This window comes from Homo sapiens, chromosome 12 (genome assembly GCF_000001405.40).
Source record: "Homo sapiens chromosome 12, GRCh38.p14 Primary Assembly".
In the NCBI taxonomy this organism is placed as follows: domain Eukaryota; kingdom Metazoa; phylum Chordata; class Mammalia; order Primates; family Hominidae; genus Homo; species Homo sapiens.
Window position 1 is genome coordinate 27,106,867 of NC_000012.12, and position 20,286 is coordinate 27,127,152.

The following is a 20,286-nucleotide window of genomic DNA, read 5'->3' on the forward strand; positions in this document are numbered from 1 at the left end:
TGAGCAGGTGTTTCATTTTCTGAATGTGCGTGTGCATGTGTGTGTTTGTGTTTGTGAGGGTGGTTAAAATAACAAGTATTGTGTTATTTGGTTTATAAATATTTGGTGAGCCCTTAGTATGCTTGAGGTTATGGTAGAGAAATAAAATATCTAAGACAATATATCATGGTTGAAGGTGTTTGAAAATTTTATGGTTTAAATATATGGATAAAAATGGAAATGTTTTATTATGGAAAGCTTCAAATATATAAAAACATAGATAGAATACCCAGCTGGGTGCAGTGGCTCACACTTGTATTCCCAGTACTTGGGAGGCTGAGGTGAGCGTATCGCTTGAACCCAAGAGTTCAAGACCAGCCTGGGCAACATGGCGAAACCCTGTCTCTACAAAAAATACAAAAATTAGCCAGGTGTGGTAGCCCCAGCTACTTGGGAGGCTGAGATGGGGGTATTGCTTGAGCCTGGAGAAGTTAAGGCTGCAGTGAGCCATGTTTGCACCACTGCACTACAGCCTGGGCGATAGAATGAGACTCTGTTTCAAAAAATATATGTATAGATAGATAGTATAGTGTACCCTCAAATACCATCACCCATTTTCAACAATTATCAACTTATGGCTAATCTTGTTTTATCAATATCTTTACCCTATTTTCTTCTATTTTATTTTAAAACAAATTCGAAATATATTATTTCATCTATGAGTATTTTGCTACTTGGCTCTAAAAAATAAGGACTCAACAAAGATAAGTTATAATAGCATTATTAATAACCTTAGAATGACAGTAATTCCTTAATATCAAATACATGCTGTTCAAGTTTCCAGTTATACCATCCACTCTAAACTTATTTTATAGTTTTTTTTTTTTTTCTTGCTGTGTTACCCAGGCTGGAGTGCAGTGGCACTATCTCGGCTCACTGCAATCTCTGCCTTCCAGGTTCAAGTGATTCTTCTGCTTCAGCGTCCTAAGTAGCTAAGACTACAGGTGCACGCCACCACGCCTGGCTAATTTTTGTGTTTTTTGTAGAGATGGGGTTTCACTATGTTAACCAGGCTGATCTCGGACTCCTGACCTCAAATGATCTGCCCGCATCGGCCTCCCAAAGTGCTGGGATTACAGGGGTAAGCCACTGTGCCTGGCCTTATTTTACAGTTTGAAGCCTCCTGAGGAGGCTGAGTTGGGAGGATCACTTGAGCCCAGGAGTTTAAGGCTAGCCTGGGTAATACAGCCAAACCCCATTAAAAAAAATGTGTGTTGTAACATTAGGTATCGCCCCTGCTGCCAACACTCCTGACCTTTTCCGGTTTCATCACTTCCCCTGCCCTCGTTTTGCCCTTTCCAAGTGATTCTGAATTAATTTTCTAGGGATGTTGGAGCAGATTGGTGGTGAGAAGGGTTTGGGCTAATAGAGTGGGGAGGAAAAAAGTATGTGATGACAGATACATAGCAGAGAACCAGAAAACAAGGAGGGTTGTATTTAAGAATCTCTAAAATGTTGCAGACATATGAACCTATAGTGGTTGAGGTTTAAAGGGAGAGATTTTTTGAATTAAAACCTGAATGGCTTCTTCAGAGCTGTTATTTTGGGATCAAAAGTAAGAAACTGAGGTGTGGGGAGAGGAATTCTACCCTTATTTTTTACTTTGGTAGCCAATTTCCACCTCATCTGGGCAGGGCTTTTTGTCCCAAGGAGGAAAGGCCTCAGTGTGTGTGAGTCTAGTGATTGAGTGCGCCTCAGAGCCAGTGGGAGGGCTCGGAAAAACACAGATTGCTGGGCCTGCCCCTGAAGTTTCTGATTCAGCAGACCTAGGGTGGGGTCCAGGGATTTGCATTTCTTTCTTTTTTTTTCTTTTTCTTTTTCTTTTTTTTTTTTTTTGAGACGGAGTCTCGCTCTGTCACTCAGGCTGGAGTGCGGTGGTGAGAGGTGTGATCTCGGCTCACTGCAACCTCCACCTCCTGGGTTCAAGCAATTCTCCTGCCTCAACCTCCCAAGTAGCTGGGACTACAGGTGTGCATCACCACACCTGGCTAATTTTTGTATTTTTAGTAGAGACAGGATTTGGCCTTGTTGGCCAGGATTGTGTCAAACTCCTGACCTCAAGTGATCCACCCATCTTGGCCTCCCAAAGTACTGGGCTGACAGGCATGAGCCACCATTTGCATTTCTTACTAGCTCACAGGTGATGCTGTTTTTCCAAAACACAGACCTATTAGTGCCTGCTTCTCCCTTTTGATCTGTTTTGTTTTTTATTTTAAATTAATTTTTATGAGTACATAGTAGGTGTGAGTCTTTATGGGGTACATGAGATATTTTGATACAGGCATACATCACGTAATAATCACATCAGGGTAAATGGGGTGTCTGTCACCTCAAGCATCTATCATTTCTTTGTGTTATGGACATTCCAATTATATTCTTTTAGTTATTTATAAATGTACAGTAAGTTATTGTTGACAGTTTTCACCCTGTTGTGCTACCAAATATGATCTGATTTTTAGATAGTTTATCTTTGCTAAGATTGTATTGCTGCACACATTGGCAATCATTGTGTAATTGATTAACCTTCTGAAGCAGCTTCTTGCTGGAAAAAAAATTAAAAACTAAACTGTTGAGAAATGTATGAGTAATTTGTGTGAAAAGATACTCTATTTTCATAATGACCACAGAATACTGTGGCGTTCTACCAGCCTAGTCGAATGTATGTGAACATTCTCCCTTCTTCTGAAGATTTCTTCTAAGTGTCTTAGTCTCAGTGAATTGTATCTATCTTGGGTAAGAAGTTCAGGGTTCTCTTTCAAACCCAAGCATTTTACCTAAAGAAAGCTGAGAAAGCTAGGACAGATGTAATTCTCACAAAAGTTCGAAAGAAACTTGCTGATTTTCTTATGGCCTTTCTTTTCTTCACAGAAATTCTGGGTAGCGAGCCTGACCTAAGACATCAGTTAGTCAGCAACCCTGCAAAAAATTACAGTGTCCTGCCAATGCTTTAGCCACCACACCCATCACACCCATGCCTGGAACTTTCCTTGATATTTCACCCCATTCAAATCTGCTCTAAATAGTTCCTGACCAAACCTGAAATATACCCTAAACATACTTCTGTTGGGTCTTTTTTTTTTTTTTTTGGTCTCTTACTATAATATTTGAATCTTACCTCCAATAACTTGCTTATCTAAAACTTTACTAAATTTATTTTTATTAAGCCATTGGAATAAGAAACCACTAGCCTGAGAACTCCTGCAAACAGAGCTCATTTCTCTGTTTACATCACCCAACAAATAAGAGGCTTCTCCAGTTCGAACTATGACTTTGAACCCCAGCTTCACTCCTTTGTTGTGGTAGTGATTAATGTATTTCCTGGTACCTTTTTCTTTAGCAAGTCATTCAAAGAAGCACTTAGCCACTTAGAATCCACTTAGCACTTAGCCACTTAGCACTTAGCCACTTAGCCACTTAGAATCCAGAAATAAATTTAGTACTTTGTGAGAATTACTGGATGGTGAAATTTTTTGTTCTTTGGAATTTTTTTTTCTTTTTATTGAGACAGGGTCTTTATCACCCAGGCTGGAGTGCAGTGGCACAATCACAGCTCACTGCAGCCTTGGGCTCCTGGGCTCAAGTGATCCACCCACTTCAGCCTCCTGAGCAGCTGGGACTACAGGCACATGCCACCACACCCAGCTTATTTTGTATTATTTTTTGTAGAGACAGGGTCTCACTATGTGGCCCAGGCTGGTCTCAAACTCCTGGGCTCTAGCGACCCTCCTGCCTTGGCCTCCCACAGTAGCAGGATTATAGGTGTGAGCCACTTTGCCTGGCTTGGATGGCAAAGTTGTAATTTTCTAAGTGGTTTGTCCACCCAAAGGACTCAGTTATAACTAGCAGGTTTCTGGGTAAGCAAATAATGGGAAGAAATGGAGCTGGATATTCTGAGCCTTTTATTTTGGACCATAGGTTCATATAATTGGATTATTCATGATCCTTGATTCGTGACATATTGTCATTATAGTCTAAGGTGCAGAGGTCCATGCATGTCCGACCTCATTTATTATTTATTTAGTTCATTTTTAAATGGGATTTATATTTCTAATTTCTAACCATCAACTTCTCTTTCCTAATTTTTCAAATACAAAAGTTTTATTTGGAAAGTAATCCTAGGAAAGACTTAGAGAAATAAAGAAGATAACTCATAAGTGATGCATTATCAAACAGGTTACCACTCTGAGTAGATCTTAATTGTCTAGATAATTCTGGGAACCAATGTAGATTACATGAATCAGAATTAGCTCTTTCTAGGGGGAAAGTGTGCTGGAATATTTAAAGCTGATAACTTTAAATATTAAAGGGACATTAATTCTCTGGCATTTTCAGATCACCACATGCAATGGCAGAGGGCTCCCTGAAATCTTGGACAGTTAAAAGTTGGGCTGGCATGCATGGAATTACAGAGGGCACCAATTACATCTGCCTCAGTTAGAAGCTAAACAGTATTATTAATTCATCTGTTTCAAAGGCATTCCCAATTAATTTAGTTCTAAATGAATTTTATGCTTTCAATATTTAGCCAACAATGAATGGTTCCTTCCTAGTTAAAATAAAGAACTTAAATGGGATTGACATTGGGATTCTTAATGCCTGACAAGCTTTAAAGACCATTGCATAGTTTGATGAGCAATTGCCAAAGTTTATACATTGGCAAATGTATAAACTTGTGTAACTTATATCTCAATCAAGATATTAACCAGAAATTCCACTGGTGTCTCCTTTCAGTCACTCACCATTTTCTGTAAGTAATTATTGCTCTACCTTCTATCATAGGTTGCCTGTTCTTGAATTTCATATAAAAGTATCATACAGTACATGGTCCTTTCTGTCTGGCTTCTTTTGCTCAACATAATGTTGCATGTATTATTTGTTCCATCTCTCTACTGTAGAATAATATTCCATCGTATTAGAATGATATTTCATTGTGTTAATTATGTGAGGAAGCCCAGGGAATCTTCCTCTCAGAAATATTTATGAAGAGTTAAGAAAGTCTTTTTAGAGACCAGGGGATTTTCTAAAGCTTTTTTATTTAGCCTTTTCATTTTTAAAAATACGTTGACCTAGCCCTGAAAATTAACATAGCTTTATCAACACAGATGCCTAATAAATTAGGCTGCCTCTAAAATAGCTCAAACCACGGGCAAGGCAGAATTTTAATAAATATGGACGGTCTGTTCTTAGTACTTCACCACATCAGGTTGTGTGTTTCTTATTCTTCTGTGTAGTTCTTTAAAACCCATTTGAAATTTATCGAAACTGATTCTGTGGCCTTGCGTATATGCCTTATCCTGGTGAATATAATGTGTAGACTTGAATGTATATTCTGCCTTTGGGTGTTCTGTTCTATAAATTGAATTAGGTCAAGATGGTTGATAATATTTTCAAATCTTGTGTGTTACTGAGTTTTTTTTCCTACCATATCTGTCAATTCAAAAGAAGGTTGAAAAAGAACAAGTGATAGATGGGACAAACAGAAAAGAAATAGCAGGGCAATAGACTTAAATCCAACCTTATCAGTAGATTTAAATCCAACCAGGTCAATCATATTTATATTATGTTAAATATAAGTGGATTAAATTTGTCTAATTCTCCCTTAACACTATCAGTTTTTGCTTCATGTATTTGGAGGTTCTATTACTAGTTGCAAAAACATTTGTGCTTGTTATGACTTCCTGATGAATTAACACTTATCATTGTAAAATATCTTTCTTTCTAGTCATACTTCCTGATTTGTAGTTTCGTAATATACCCACTCCTGCTTTCCTGTGCTTACATATGTATGTTATCTCATTTTTCATCCTTTTACTATTATATTTCTTTATATTTAAAGTCTCTATTAACAGCACGTAATTAGGACTTAAAAAACTAATCTGATGATCTCTGGCTCTTATCAGTGTTTATTGCATTTTTACTTAATGTAATTTTTAAAAGTTATTTAAAAAATTGTTTTATTTTAGTAGCTTTAGGGGTACAAGTGGCTTTGGTTACATGGATGAATTGTATAGTGGAAGTCTGAGATTTTAGGGCTCCTGTCACCTGAATAGTGAACATTGTACCTAATAGGTAGTTTTTCATCCTTACCTCCCTCTCACTCTCCCTGCTTCTGAGTCTCCACTGTCCATTATACCACTCTGTATGCCTTTGCATACCCATGGCTTAGCTCCAACTTATGCAATACTTAATCCGATTATTTATATGCTTCAGTTTAAGTCTACCACCTTGGCTATTGATTTTTCTTTCTCCTGTGTGTCTATTGTTCCTTCATTACTGCCTTTGGATTTAGTAAAATTGAGCTGATTTTATCAGGCTGATAAAATCAGCCTGATAAAATCCAGGCTGAGGCTGGAGGGTTGTATGAGCCCAGGTATTCAAGACCAGCCAACTGGCAACATAGTGAGACCTTGTCTCAAAAAATAAACAAAAAGTAAAGATTCCGTGAATTCGTATTCTCTACAACACTTGGCTATGTCAATTTTTTTCACTAATTGGGTATAAAACATTATCACATTCCTTTAGATTCCTCATTTATTAATGATATTAAGCACCTCTTCATATTTTTATTGGTTGAAAACATTTCTTCTGCCAAATGATTGTTCATATCCTCATGCCTCCCATTTTTTCCTTGATTTCTAGGAATTCTACACTTGGAATACCACTGAACTGGACCACTTATATTTGACTACTTTTGACTTATTAGAGAAATCTTTGGCCTTTGATTCTATCACCAGTACCTGGCTACCTGTTTAATTTGGAAAGCCTTCCAAATTGGGCCCCCTTATCCTACTCCATTTTTTCCTCTTAGCACCTACCACCTTCGCCATGTTACATACGTGTTTATTACTTGTATGTACTGTCTTTCCCTTACTGGTGCATGTAGGTTGCTACATGATAAATATAGAGATTAAGAGTTAGCATTTTGAACTTTCAAAGCAATTTAAACATTGTCATAATATTTTTATTAAATGATGGGATTGGTCTCCAATGAACTGGAAATTTTTTTAAGAACTAGTTCTTCACTACTTTGAAAAGCATGGTGTAGATTGTCTCATACCTTCATGTAATAGCATTTGAAAGGCTCATTGAACAGAACAGAGAAGAACTCGATAACTATTATACCTATCAGACTTGAAAAAGTGTTCATGCTCTACACAAAATATAGTTGCTAACAAAGATGAATTTTTTTTCTAATTTAGTGAGATGATATGTATTTCTAATATGGGCATTACTTTGTGTTATTGGTATTCCCATGTTTATAGTTGAGCCTGGTATGTGTCCCTTTGTTTTATGTATACACATACATAAATGTATCTATACAAAATACTTTTTTAAAATTATACTTTAAGTTCTAGGGTACATGTGCACAACATGCAGGTTTGTTACATAGGTATACATGTGCCATGTTGGTTTGCTGCACCCATCAACTCGTCATTTACATGAGGTATTTGTCCTAATGCTCTCCCTCCCCCAGGCCCCCACCCCCGACAGGCCCCAGTGTGTGATGTTCCCCGCCCTATGTCCAAGTGTTCTCATTGTTCAGTTCCCACCTATGAGTGAGAACATGCAGTGTTTGGTTTTCTGTCCTAGTGATAGTTTGCTGAGAACGATGGTTTCCAGCTTCATCCATGTCCCTGCAAAGGACATGAACTCATCCTTTTTTATGGCTGCATAGTATTCCATGGTGTATATGTGCCACATTTGCTTAATCCAGTCTATCATTGATGGACATTTGGGTTCGTTCCAAGTCTTTGCTATTGTGAATAGTGCTGCATTAAACATACGTGTGCATGTGTCTTTATAGTAGCATGATTTATAATCCTTTGGGTATATACCCAGTAATGGGATCACTGGGTCAAATAGTATTTCTGGTTCTAGATCCCTGAGGAATCGCCACACTGTCTTCCACAATGGTTGAACTAATTTACACTCCCACCAATAGTGTAAAAGCATTCCTATTTCTCCACATCCTCTCCATTGTCTGTTGTTTCCTGACTTTTTAGTGATCACCATTCTAACTGGTGTGAGATGGTATCTCATTGTGGTTTTGATTTGCATTTCTCTGATCAGTAATGATGAGCGTTTTTTCATGTGTCTGTTGGCTGCATAAATGTCTTCTTTTGAGAAGTGTCTGTTCATATCCTTTGCTCACTTTTTGATTGGGTTTTTTTTTTCTTGTAAATTTGTTTAAGTTCTTTGTAGAGTCGGGATATTAGCCCTTTGTCAGATGGGTAGATTGCAAAAATTTTCTCCCTTTTGTAGGTTGCCTGTTCAGTCTGATGGCAGTTTCTTTTGCTGTGCAGCAGCTCTTTAGTTTAATTAGATCCCATTTGCCTATTTTGGCTTTTGTTGCCATTGCTTTTGGTGTTTTAGTCATGAAGTCCTTACCCATGCCTATGTCCTGAATAGTATTGCCTAGGTTTTCTTCTAGGGTTTTTATGGTTTTAGGTCTAACATTTAAGTCTTTAATCCATCTTGAATTAATTTTTGTATAAGGTGTAAGGAAGGGATCCAGTTTCAGCTTCCTACATATGGCTAGCCAGTTTTCCCAGCACCATTTATTAAATAGGGAATCCTTTCCCCATTTCTTGTTTTTGTCAGGTTTGCCAAAGATCAGATGGTTGTATGTGTGTGGTGTTATTTCTGAGGCCTCTGTTCTGTTCCATTGGTCTATATCTCTGTTTTGGTACCAGTACCATGCTGTTTTGGTTACTGTAGCCTTGTAGTATAGTTTGAAGTCGGGTAGAGTGATGTCTCCAGCTTTGTTCTTTTTGCTTAGGATTGTCTTGGCAATGCGGGCTCTTTTTTTGGTTCCATATGAACTTTAAAGTAGTTTTTTTCCAATTCTGTGAAGAAAGTCATTGGTAGCTTGATGGGGATGGCATTGAATCTATAAATTACCTTGGACAGTATGTCCATTTTCATGATATTGATTCTTCCTATCCATGAGCATGGAATGTTCTTCCATTTGTTTGTGTCTTCTTTTATTTCATTGAGCAGTGGTTTGTAGTTCTTCTTGAAGAGGTCCTTCACATCCCTTGTAAGTTGAATTCCTAGGTATTTTATTCTCTTTTTAGCAATTGTAAATGCTGAGTCCACTCATGATTTGGCTCTCTGTCTGTTATTAGTGTATAGGAATGCTTGTGATTTTTGCACATTGATTTTGTATCCTGAGACTTTGCTGAAATTGTTTATCAGCTTAAGGAGATTTTGGGCTGAGACGATGGGGTTTTCTAAATATACAATCATGTCATCTGCAAACATGGACAATTTGACTTCCTCTTTTCCTAATTGAATACCCTTTATTTCTTTCTCTTGCCTGATTGCTCTGGCCAGAACTTCCAACACTATGTTGAGTAAGAGTGGTGAGAGAGGGCGTCCTTGTCTTCTGCCGGTTTTCAAAGGAAATGCTTCCAGTTTTTGCCCATTCAGTATGATATTGGCTGTGTGTTTGTCATTAATAGCTCTTATTATTTTGAGATATGTTCCATCAATATCTAGTTTATTGAGACTTTTAGCATGAAGCGTTGTTGAATTTTATCGAAGGCCTTTTCTGCATCTGTTGAGATAATCATGTGGTTTTTGTTGTTGATTCTGTTTTTGTTATGGATTACATTTATTGATTTGCATATGTTGAACCAGCCTTGCATCCCTGGGATGATGCCAACTTGATAGTGGTAGATAAGCTTTTTGATGCACTGCTGGATTCGGTTTGCCAGTATTTTATTGAGGATTTTTGCATCAATGTTCATCAGGGATATTGGTCTAAAATTCTCTTTTTTTGTTGTGTTTCTGCCAGGCTTTGGTATCAGGATGGTGCTGGCCTCATAAAATGAGTTAGGGAGGACTCTCTCTTTTTCTATTGATTGAAATAATTTCAGAAGGAATGGTACCAGCTCTTCTGTGTACCTCTGGTAGAATTCGGCTGTGAATCCATCTGGTCCTGGACTTTTTTTGGTTGATAAGCTATTAATTATTGCCTCAATTTCAGAGCCTGTTATTGGCCTATTCAGAGATTCAACTTCTTCCTGGTTTAGTCTTGGGAGGGTGTATGTGTTGAGGAATTTATCCATTTCTTCTAGATTTTCTAGTTTATTTGCATAGAGATGTTTATAGCATGCTCTGATGGTAGTTTGTATTTCTGTGGGATCGGTGGTGATATCCCCTTTATCATTTTTTATTGCGTCTATTTGATTATTCTCTCTTTTCTTCTTTATTAGTCTTGCTAGTGGTCAGTGGTCTATCAATTTTGTTGATCTTTTCAAAAAACCAGCTCCTGGATTCATTGATTTTTGATGGGTTTTTTATGTCTTTATCTCCTTTGGTTCTTCTCTGCTCTTAGTTATTTCTTGCCTTCTGCTAGCTTTTGAATTTGTTTTCTCTTGCTTCTCTAGTTCTTTTAATTGTGATGTTAGAGTGTCAATTTTAGATCTTTCTTGCTTTCTCTTCTGGGCATTTAGTGCTGTAAATTTCCCTCTACACACTGCTTTAAATGTGTCCCAGAGATTCTGGTACATTGTGTCTTTGTTCTCATTGGTTTCAAAGAACATCTTCATTTCTGCCTTCATTTCGTTATTTACCCAGTAGTCATTCAGGAGCCAGTTGTTCAGCTTCCTTGTAGTTGTGCAGTTTTGAGTGAGTTTCTTAATCCTGAGTTCTAGTTTGATTGCACTGTGGTCTGAGAGACAGTTTGTTGTGATTTCTGTTCTTTTACATTTGCTGAGGAGTGCTTTACTTCCAATTATGTGATTAATTTTAGAATATGGGCAATGTGGTGCTGAGAAGAATGTATATTCTGTTGATTTGTGGTGGAGAGTTCTGTAGATGTCTGTTAGGTCTTCTTGGTGCAGAGCTGAAGTCCTGGATATCCTTTTTAACTTTCTGTCTCCTTGATCTGTCTAATGTTGACAGTGGGGTGTTAAAGTCTCCCACTATTATTGTGTGGGAGTCCAAGTCTCTTTATAAGTCTCTAAGAACTTGCTTTATGAATCTGGGTGCTCCTGTGTTGGGTGCATATATATTTAGGATAGTTAGCTCTTCTTGTTGAGTTGATCCGTTTACCATTATGTAATGGCCTACTTTGTCTCTTTTGATCTTTGTAGGTTTAAAGTCTGTTTTATCAGAGACTAGGATTGCAACCCCTGCTTTTTTTTTTGCTTTCCATTTGCTTGGTAGATCTTCCTCCATCCCTTTATTTTGAGCCTATGTGTGTCTTGGCACATGAGATGGGTCTCCTGAATACAGCACACTGATGGGTCTTGACTCTTTATCCAGTTTGCCAGTCTGTGTCTTCTAATTGGGGCATTTAGCCAATTTACATTTAAGGTTAATATTGTTATGTGGGAATTTGATCCTGTCATTATGATGTTCCCTGGTTGTTTTGCCCGTTAATTGATGCAGTTTCTTCCTAGCATTGATGGTCTTTATAATTTGGCATGCTTTTGCAGTGGCTGGTACTGGTTGTTCCTTTCCATGTTTAGTGCTTCCTTCAGGAGCTCTTGTAAGGCATGCCTGGTGGTGACAAAATCTCTCAGCATTTGCTTGTCTGTAAAGGATTTTATTTTTCCTTCACTTATGAAGCTTAGTTTGGCTGGTATGAAATTCTGGCTTGAAAATTCTTTTCTTTAAGAATGTTGAATATTGGCCCACACCCTCTTCTGGCTTGTAGGGTTTCTGCCGAGAGATCAGCTGTTAGTCTGATGGGCTTCCCTTTGTGGGTAACCCGACCTTTCTCTCTGGCTGCCCTTAACATATTTTCCTTCATTTCAACTTTGGTGAATCTGACAATTATGTGTCTTGGAGTTGCTCTTCTCGAGGAGTATTTTTGTGGTGTTCTCTGTATTTCCTGAATTTGAATGTTGGCCTGCCTTGCTAGGTTGGGGAAATTCTTCTGGATAGTATCCTGCAGAGTGTTTTCCAACTTGGCTCCATTCTCCCCATCACTTTCAGGTACACCAATCAAACGTAGATTTGGTCTTTTCACATAGTCCCATATTTCTTGGAGGCTTTGTTCGTTTCTTTTTACTTTAGAGTTTCTTTTCTGTTTCTTTTTACTTTGTTCGTTTCTTTTTACTTTAGAGTTTTTAGAGAAAAAACTCTAAACTTGTCTTCTTGCTTTATTTCATTAATTTGATCTTTAATCACTGATACCCTTCCTTCCACTTGATGGAATTGGCTATTGAAGCTTATGCATCCATCACAAAGTTCTCATGCCATGGTTTTCAGCTCCATCAGGTCATTTAAGGTCTTCCCTACACTCCTTATTCTAGTTAGCCATTCATCTAACCTTTTTTCAAGGTTTTTACCTTCTTTGTGATGGGTTAGAACATGTTCCTTTAGCTCAAAGAAGTTTATTATTACCAACCTTCTGAAGTCTATTTCTGTCAACTTGTCAAAGTCATTCTTTGTTCTGTTGCTGGCGAGGAGCTATGATCCTTTGGAGGAGAAGAGGTGCTCTGGTTTTTAGAATTTTCAGCTTTTCTGCTCTGGTTTCTCCCCATCTTTGTGGTTTTATCTACCTTTGGTCTTTCATGTTGGTGACCTACAGATGGTGTTTTGGTGTAGATGTCCTTTTTGTTGATGTTGATGCTATTCCTTTCTGTTTGTTAGTTTTCCTTCTAAGAGTCAGGTCCCTCAGCTTCAGGTCTGTTGGAGTTTGCTGGAGGTCCACTCCAGACCCTGTTTGCCTGGGTATCACCAGCAGAGGCTGCAGAACTGCAATTATTGCAGAACAGCAAATATTGGTGCCTGATCCTTCCTCTGGAAGCTTCATCCCAGAGGGGCACTCATCTGTATGAGGTGTCTGTCAGCTCCTACTGGGAGATGTCTTCCAGTTAGGCTACATGGGGGTCAGCGACCCACTTGAGGAGGCAGTCTGTCCATTCTCAGAGCTCAAGCACCATGCTGGGAGAGCCCCTGCTCTCTTCAGAGCTTTCAGACAGGGACGTTTAAGTCTGTGGAAGTCTGCTGTCTTTTGTTCAGCTATGCCCTGCCCCCAGGGGTGTAGTCTATAGAGGCAGTAGGCCTTGCTGAGCTGCAGTGGGCTCTGCCCAGTTCAAGCTTCCCTTGGCTACTTTTGTTTACCTACTCAAGCCTCAGCAATGGCAGACGCCCCTCCCCCAGCCAGGCTACAGCCTTGCAGGTCAATCTCAGACTGCTGCTAGCCAGTGAGCAAGGCTCCGTGGGCATGGGACCCACCAATCCAGGTATGAGAGGGAATCTCCTGGTCTGCCGGTTGCTAAGACCATGGGAAAAGCACAGTATTTGTGCGAGAGTGTCCCGTTTTTCCAGGTACAGTCTGTCATGGCTTCTCTTGGCTAGGAAAGGGAAATCCCCTGACCTCTTGCACTTCCCGGGTGAGGCGATGCCCAGCCCTGCTTTGCCTCGCCCTCCATGGGCTGCACCCACTATCCAACCAGTCCCAATGAGATGAACCAGGTACCTTAGTTGGAAATGCAGAAATCACCCGTCTTCTGCATTGATCATGCTGGGAGCTGCAGACAGAGCTGTTCCTATTCGGCCTTCTTGGAACGGAACTGCAAAATACTTTTTAAATGAAAGAGAATGCAAGCCACTTAATTATGTAATTCAGCTTGATCCTTTATGCTCTCAGTTTTCATGTTTTGAGTTTCCCATACTGGAGTGTGGTTATTAAATGTGTGTCCTACTTCTTTGGATGGTGCACTGGCTGAGTGTGTGAGTAAATTTTTTAGAATGACCTAGGTTCATAACCTAACTTGTTGATTCCTTGTTTTCTGGGTAACTGTAGACACATAAATTGAGTATTTTCATGCTGTAGTATTTCCACAATAAATGGTGGTGATATTTTTCACCTTTGGAAGTCAGTAAAGTTCTGGAAAATCCTTAGGTGAAATGACTTTAAATCAAAATAATATTTTACAACAATTATATGGCATTATGTTAGAATGAATGCATAATTGGAAACTCATCCAAGAAGCTGGTACGAGAACTATAAATATATTTGTGAAAATAAAGTGGTGAGATTTGGCTGCTTAGAAACAGAGGGCAAAGGTTTCTGTGAAACAGCATGTGCCCTTTATTCCCCAGGTGTTTGCTCTATCACAGTATCTATAACATAGTAAGAGCTTTATTCGGGTGCTTAGTCTGGTACCTGAAATGCATTAGTGAATGTTGAAAATCACATTGTCTTGACTTTTTCCTGTCGATGACCAAATTTTTTGCAAGCATTATCTCAGTATAGTTTTTAACAGTAAACCAATGTGTAGATTGTGACATAATTTCAGCCTCAATTCATCTTCACATAGGATCAGGTAAACAAATTATGTATTATAGTGGAAGTCAGACAGACCCAGGTTAGAAACTGAATTTGGCTATATTTACTTTCCTGTGTTTTCATGCAAAAATCAAACATCTTTGATCCCCATTTATAAAATGGAGATGAATTTACACATTTTATAGAGCTGTTGACTAAGGATTATGGATAATTTATGTAAATGTGTAGGAAACACTATAGGCACTCAGTATGTGATAGCTATGGCTCCACTACAAAATGTTTAGTATCAGTAGGGGTGTATGTGTGTGTTTGTCTGTGTGTATATGTACATTTAGTATATGTGTTAGTGAATCCTTTTCTTAGACAAGTCTTAAGCCCTTATACAGAAAGAAAAAAAAAACAAAATTAAGAGAACAGAGATTGGGTGAGGCTGGTAAAGGGAGAAAGGAGTCTTGTCTGGCCAGTGCTTGTCATGGCCCTCAGCAAGCTTCCATGGCCATCCCTGTTGCCCTTTACAGAGGTCTAGAGTTCTAGAGAACAGCATGGAAACCATGCTAGTGGATTTTAAACACCTCAAGTGCAAGAATGGAATCTTCTTTATTAACTGATATAGGTATCGCATGTGGTCTTGTGCTACAGTAGGTGATTGGCCACAGCTTGCTACTCCACTACTGAAGTTTTTGCTCCATATTTGACTACACAGCAGAGTTATCATTTGAAGGTGAATTAGGAAACCCACTAGCAAGCCTATGTCATTAATGGATGTAATGATAACTTTTTTTTCAGATCTGGGTTGGAATTTGCCCCTGACAAATAAGAAAATGATGAGTGATGCAAGTGACATATTGGCTGCGACGTTGGAGCAGATGGATGGTATCATAGCAGGTGATCTGCGTCCTGTGAAAGACAGAATCACAACATTTACTCTGCTCATTTGGCTTTTTCACTACAACTTTCATATTATCTTTTCACTTTATTTTCATTTTTTAGCCCTATGCCTTTTGCTTCCCTGTAATTTCATCTTTGTTCCTCTTCTCCATTTTCTACCAGCATTATTCTCAAACATTATTTTAAAATATCAAAAATTCCAGTTCCATCCTAGATTTCTAATCAAGGAAAAAGAATCTGCATCTCAGGTGATTCTGGTGTAGGTGGTCTGTGGACCACACTTTGAGGGACATTTCTCTACCCAGTGAACATGAATGTTCTGATCTGTTTTCTTGAATTCAAAATTCACTTTCCACCAATGACTCTCATGTCTGTTTTTTTTTTTTTTTAAGAGTGGAGGTCTTGCTCTGTTTCTCAAGCTGGAGTGCAGTGGCTATTTACAGGCATGATTGCCTGTGAATAACATGCATAGTGCAGCCTTGAAATGCTGTGCTCAAGCAATCTTCCCACCTCAAGTACCTGCAATTACAGGCACATGCCACTGCACCCAGCTTATTCACATTTATTTACCTTCCCAATTCTTTGCTAAGCTTCCAGTCCCTATCTCTAATTTCCAACCAGATATCTCTCTGGAAATGTCCTATAGGCACATCAATATAATCATTTAACACATTGAGCTCATTGTCTTTCCTTGGAATTTACTCTAATAGTCTTTATCTGAGTTCATTTCATAACCCTTCATCCACAGTTTTTCTAAGCCAGAATTTCCAGTATTGGTCCGGAATGGACCAGCTCTAATATTTGTATTTTCTGATCTGCCACTTTCTTATTCATGATCTCCACGAGGCCAGCACACCTCACACCAAAGCCCACCCGGCTCTTCTTCTTTCTATACCCCATGATTGGCCTCCTTGTTGGGAACTGGACCATGGATATTTACCATCAACTACATGGTTTTAATTTTTACACCACGTAAATCTGACTTGGAGAGATTTATGTGATTGAATTTTCTTTTTTCTGTTTCTTTTGATTGTTCCTTACTGTGACTAGACTGGTTTACCACCTTCAGCTTTGGTGTTTTATATAACATAAATCCCATTGCTTTCTCTGTGATTTTGTTTAACTTAGGTTCTAAGGCCCTGGAATATTCCAGTGGGATTTTTGGTTGCCAATCTCCCACCTCTCCATCCATGGGAAGTTTGTGAGCCCTGCACCTTGTGGAAGACCTGCGTGGATTATTAGAGATGATGGAAACAGATGAGAAAGAAGACTTGAGCTGCCAGTTCCCAGATTCAACAGTAGAAATGCTAATTGAATGGTTTCAAAGTCAAATGGTAGGTGTCTGCCTGTTACAAATTCTGTATTATGAATCTTTTGTTGCTTATTCCAAAATTTAGAACATAGAATAGCTGATTAGAACAAAAAAAAAGTATAGGGCAACAGATGTGCTCTATTTTATTCCTTAAGATATCTTAATTTTCTTTCGACTCTAAGAATAACTTTTTAAAAAGTGCTATTAGTGTACATTTTGTAAATACCAACAACAGGTCACCTGATTCTGCCCATAAAAACAGACTGGCTTTTAGATTGTGCCTGAATGACCTACTGTGGCTTAAATCAAATAGTCCTTTAAGGGAAAGAATCTTGCACATAATTGATGATTTCTCAGTCATATTGGGTTATTCACTATAAAGGACTCAATAGCAATGCTACATGGAAAGCATAATGAAAGACATTCAAAAGCCACAGGGGTTAAGTATTTGACCTGAAGTGCCATCTGGTGGTTTATTTCAATCATTTCAGTTCCAGTTCTTGAATTAAATTGGGGAATTGGGCCTTTAACCCATTTATGCGTAGTGTTCCATTATTGGAACGCTAAGCTTGTGGGAGTTATTTATATCCTACTGCTCAATGTCATCGCCCAGTTCTGATTTTTCACAAAAAAATTAGCAACCTCCAGCATAAATGGGTTAATGGTGTTACTCACTAAACAACGAGGCCTCTTTCTAGGCATCCTTCTCAAAAATTGATGATGTGGCAGAGCTACCCTTTGTCTCGATACAGTGGTAAATACCATGCTTTTAATCTGTGATGGACACATAAAATCTAAATAGTGTCACAAAAACAGATTCAGTGGAGGACAGAGGAAAGGAGATATTTTGTGCCTAAAGGATATTCAATTTTCAGTAAGATGCACTCATATGCTTATGAGTTAACTGTGTTTATATCAAAACTAATGAGAATCGTATGAAAGAATTGTGATCTACTTTTGGATCTGTGGTAGACATGAAAACTGCTTGCTTTGGGAACCTTAAGAGTACATCCTACAGCTAAAACATTTTCATATGATGTGACACAAATATTAGAGCTCCCAGCCAGTCCTGTGCTGAATACTCTGTGTTCCCACCTGGTTTACCTCTGCGTTTCTGAGAGCGAATAGTACAATCTATCCTTTAGTGGGGGTGCAGCTATACAAACTGGAGTTATTTTACTTGTTAAAACACATAATGCCTTACTATTATACTTTCTATTTGCTCTACAGATTTCTCCTCCAGAGACTTAAGGGTCCAGGTTTGCTGATTTCTTTAGGGATTGCTTCATGCTCTGTACTTGGTGTTTCCTGACATATTCCTTAGTCTATTTCAATGTCCTATCTCACCCCTTCTTTACTCCATGTTCTTCTGACCATTTAGCATGCAGTGAAAAAGGAATTTACTATTGTTAGAAGAACGTATTTCTATCCCACACCCAGAGGCCACCAATGGCAATAGTAGCCGAAGCGTACCTGTAGTTCAGCTTTTGACATGTGTCTAAAACATGTCCATTAACATGTGCTTAATCTGTTCTGTGAAAGTATTTTCAGAAATGATAAAAAGTAATGATGGTTACATCTGAATATAAGTTAGATCATGACACTCACTCCTTTTTTCAGAAACTACCAATGGCATCACATCTTACTCAGAGTAAAAACCACAGTGCTTACTGTGGGCTGCAAGGCCTCGTAGGATTTGCTCCCCATGACTTTCTGACTTCATCTCTTGTCACACATCTCCTTATTCGCTCCACGCCAAGCACAGTGGCTTTTTCACTGATTCTTAAACATGCCAGGTACACTGGCCTCAGAGCCTTTGCACTGGCTTTTCCAGGCACTGGCTTTTCACTCTGCCTGGAAAGCTCTGTCCCTAGATATTTGCATGGCTAGCTCCCTCACATTCTTCTGGTATTTACTCAAAAGTTGTGATCTCAGTTAGGCCTTGTATCACCACCCTAACTAAAATTATACCCATTTATTCTTTGTCTTACATCTCCCTGCTTTATTTTGTTCTTAGCATTCACCACTTTCTTATGTGCAATGTATTTGTAATGTTTATATCATTTATTTTCTGTCTTTTCAACTGGAATGTAAGCATCATGAATCCAATTTTTGCCATTATTTTTAAAAATTTACTGTATCCCTGGTGTTTAGAAGAATGCCTGGCTCAGTAGTTATATTTGTAATGAATGATGCTCCATGAATGATAAAGTGGATTGCATGTTTGAATGAATGGAAGTTGTTTTAAATTTATTCCTTGGATGGGTAATGGCTTGTTGATCTGTGTTTTCAGTTGCTTTCTCTCTTACTATTTGACATTTTAACTTTGAGAATCCACAAAATGACAGATATTTTACAGAACTAATGAAGATTCGGTTTTTATCCTAAAAGTAACAATAACAAAATAAACTAGATGTAGATCCAGAGAGATAAGGGACTTTTGTTGCTGTTGCTAAATTTATTTATATCTATCTAACTTATCTATATGAATTCCTCACCTTGACCCCAACCTTCCAAATTAAGTGTGTTTTCTCAAGCACACAGAGAATGACAGGATGAAAGAAGAAAAACAGCAAAAGGCAAAAAGAGCAGGACTGGCTGTTTGGAACCATAAAAGCATAGGTGTGAAATTGAGTTGTCACCACACACCTACCACGATAGACTTTATTTTAGAACCAAAAAGGAATTTGGGCCAGCATTGGGAATCCAACAAGTAGAAGATTATATGCTTATAATTTAGTGATTTGCTGATAATATTAGATTTTTCCAATTTAATATTTCAGAAGTTGGGCTGTGTTTTATGATCTTAAAATGGGGATGTGTATACATTTTAGCTCAGATCCATCCTCCCTTCCTCTCTCCCTTCTTTCCTTTTTTTATTAATAAGATACTTAGAATAGTCAAATTTTAGAGACAGAAAATAGATTGGTAGCTGCCAGGAGCTGAGGGGAGCAGGGAATGGGAAGATAATACTTATTGTGCATAGAATTTCAGTTTTGCAAGATGAAAAGAGTTATTTACATGGACGATGGTGATGGCTGCAAAACAATGTAAATGTGCTTACTACCACTGAACTATACACTTTAAAATGGTTAAGATGGTTAATTTTACATATATATTTTACCACAATAAAAAATTAAAGTTGATGGCGTCTTAGAATTTAAGGAACACAGAATCCTAGCAAATTCCCCCTTCATATTGAACATGGGAAAACTGCCCAAATAAAAGAGATTATGATGTTTTAAAAAAGAAAGCAGTGAATGATAAGGCAGGATTATATCTATGCAGTTTCAAATGCAGGCTGTAGTGACAGCAGACCTGAATTTTAACGTTGGCCCTAACTCTTCAAAGCTTGTATGACCTTGTGAAAATGTCTGAAGCTCTGTGTCTTGGTTTTCTCATCTGTAAAATGGGGATGATTGTTACTGCCACTTAGTATTGTAAGGATCCTATGAACTAATGTATGCTGAGGGCTTATGAATACACCTGGAAAAAAGGCTAGTCAGAGAGGTAATACTGAAGAGTAGAGTGTAGAGAATAGAGGGAAAATGTTTAACAGCATCCCTTTGCAATGAGGGAAAGAGAATTAGGTCCAGTTACAAGGGGAATAAAGTTACAAACTACCCATACATAGTTCACTTCTTGTGACAAAAGAGTGCAAACGTTTCTCAGACTGAAGAGAAGCTTCTGGAATATTTTAGAAAAACTTAAATTCAAAAATTTTTGGAAATAATTATGTATCTGTTAATAATAACAGATATATAATTATGGTTCCATTCATGTTTAATGATGG

The 20,286-nt window shown here is 38.3% G+C and overlaps 1 pseudogene; it reads left to right on the forward strand.

The window, feature by feature from the left end:
• Nucleotides 1–20,286, forward strand: part of LOC124902904 (liprin-beta-1-like) — a 98,657-nt pseudogene that overhangs the window by 6,738 nt on the left and 71,633 nt on the right.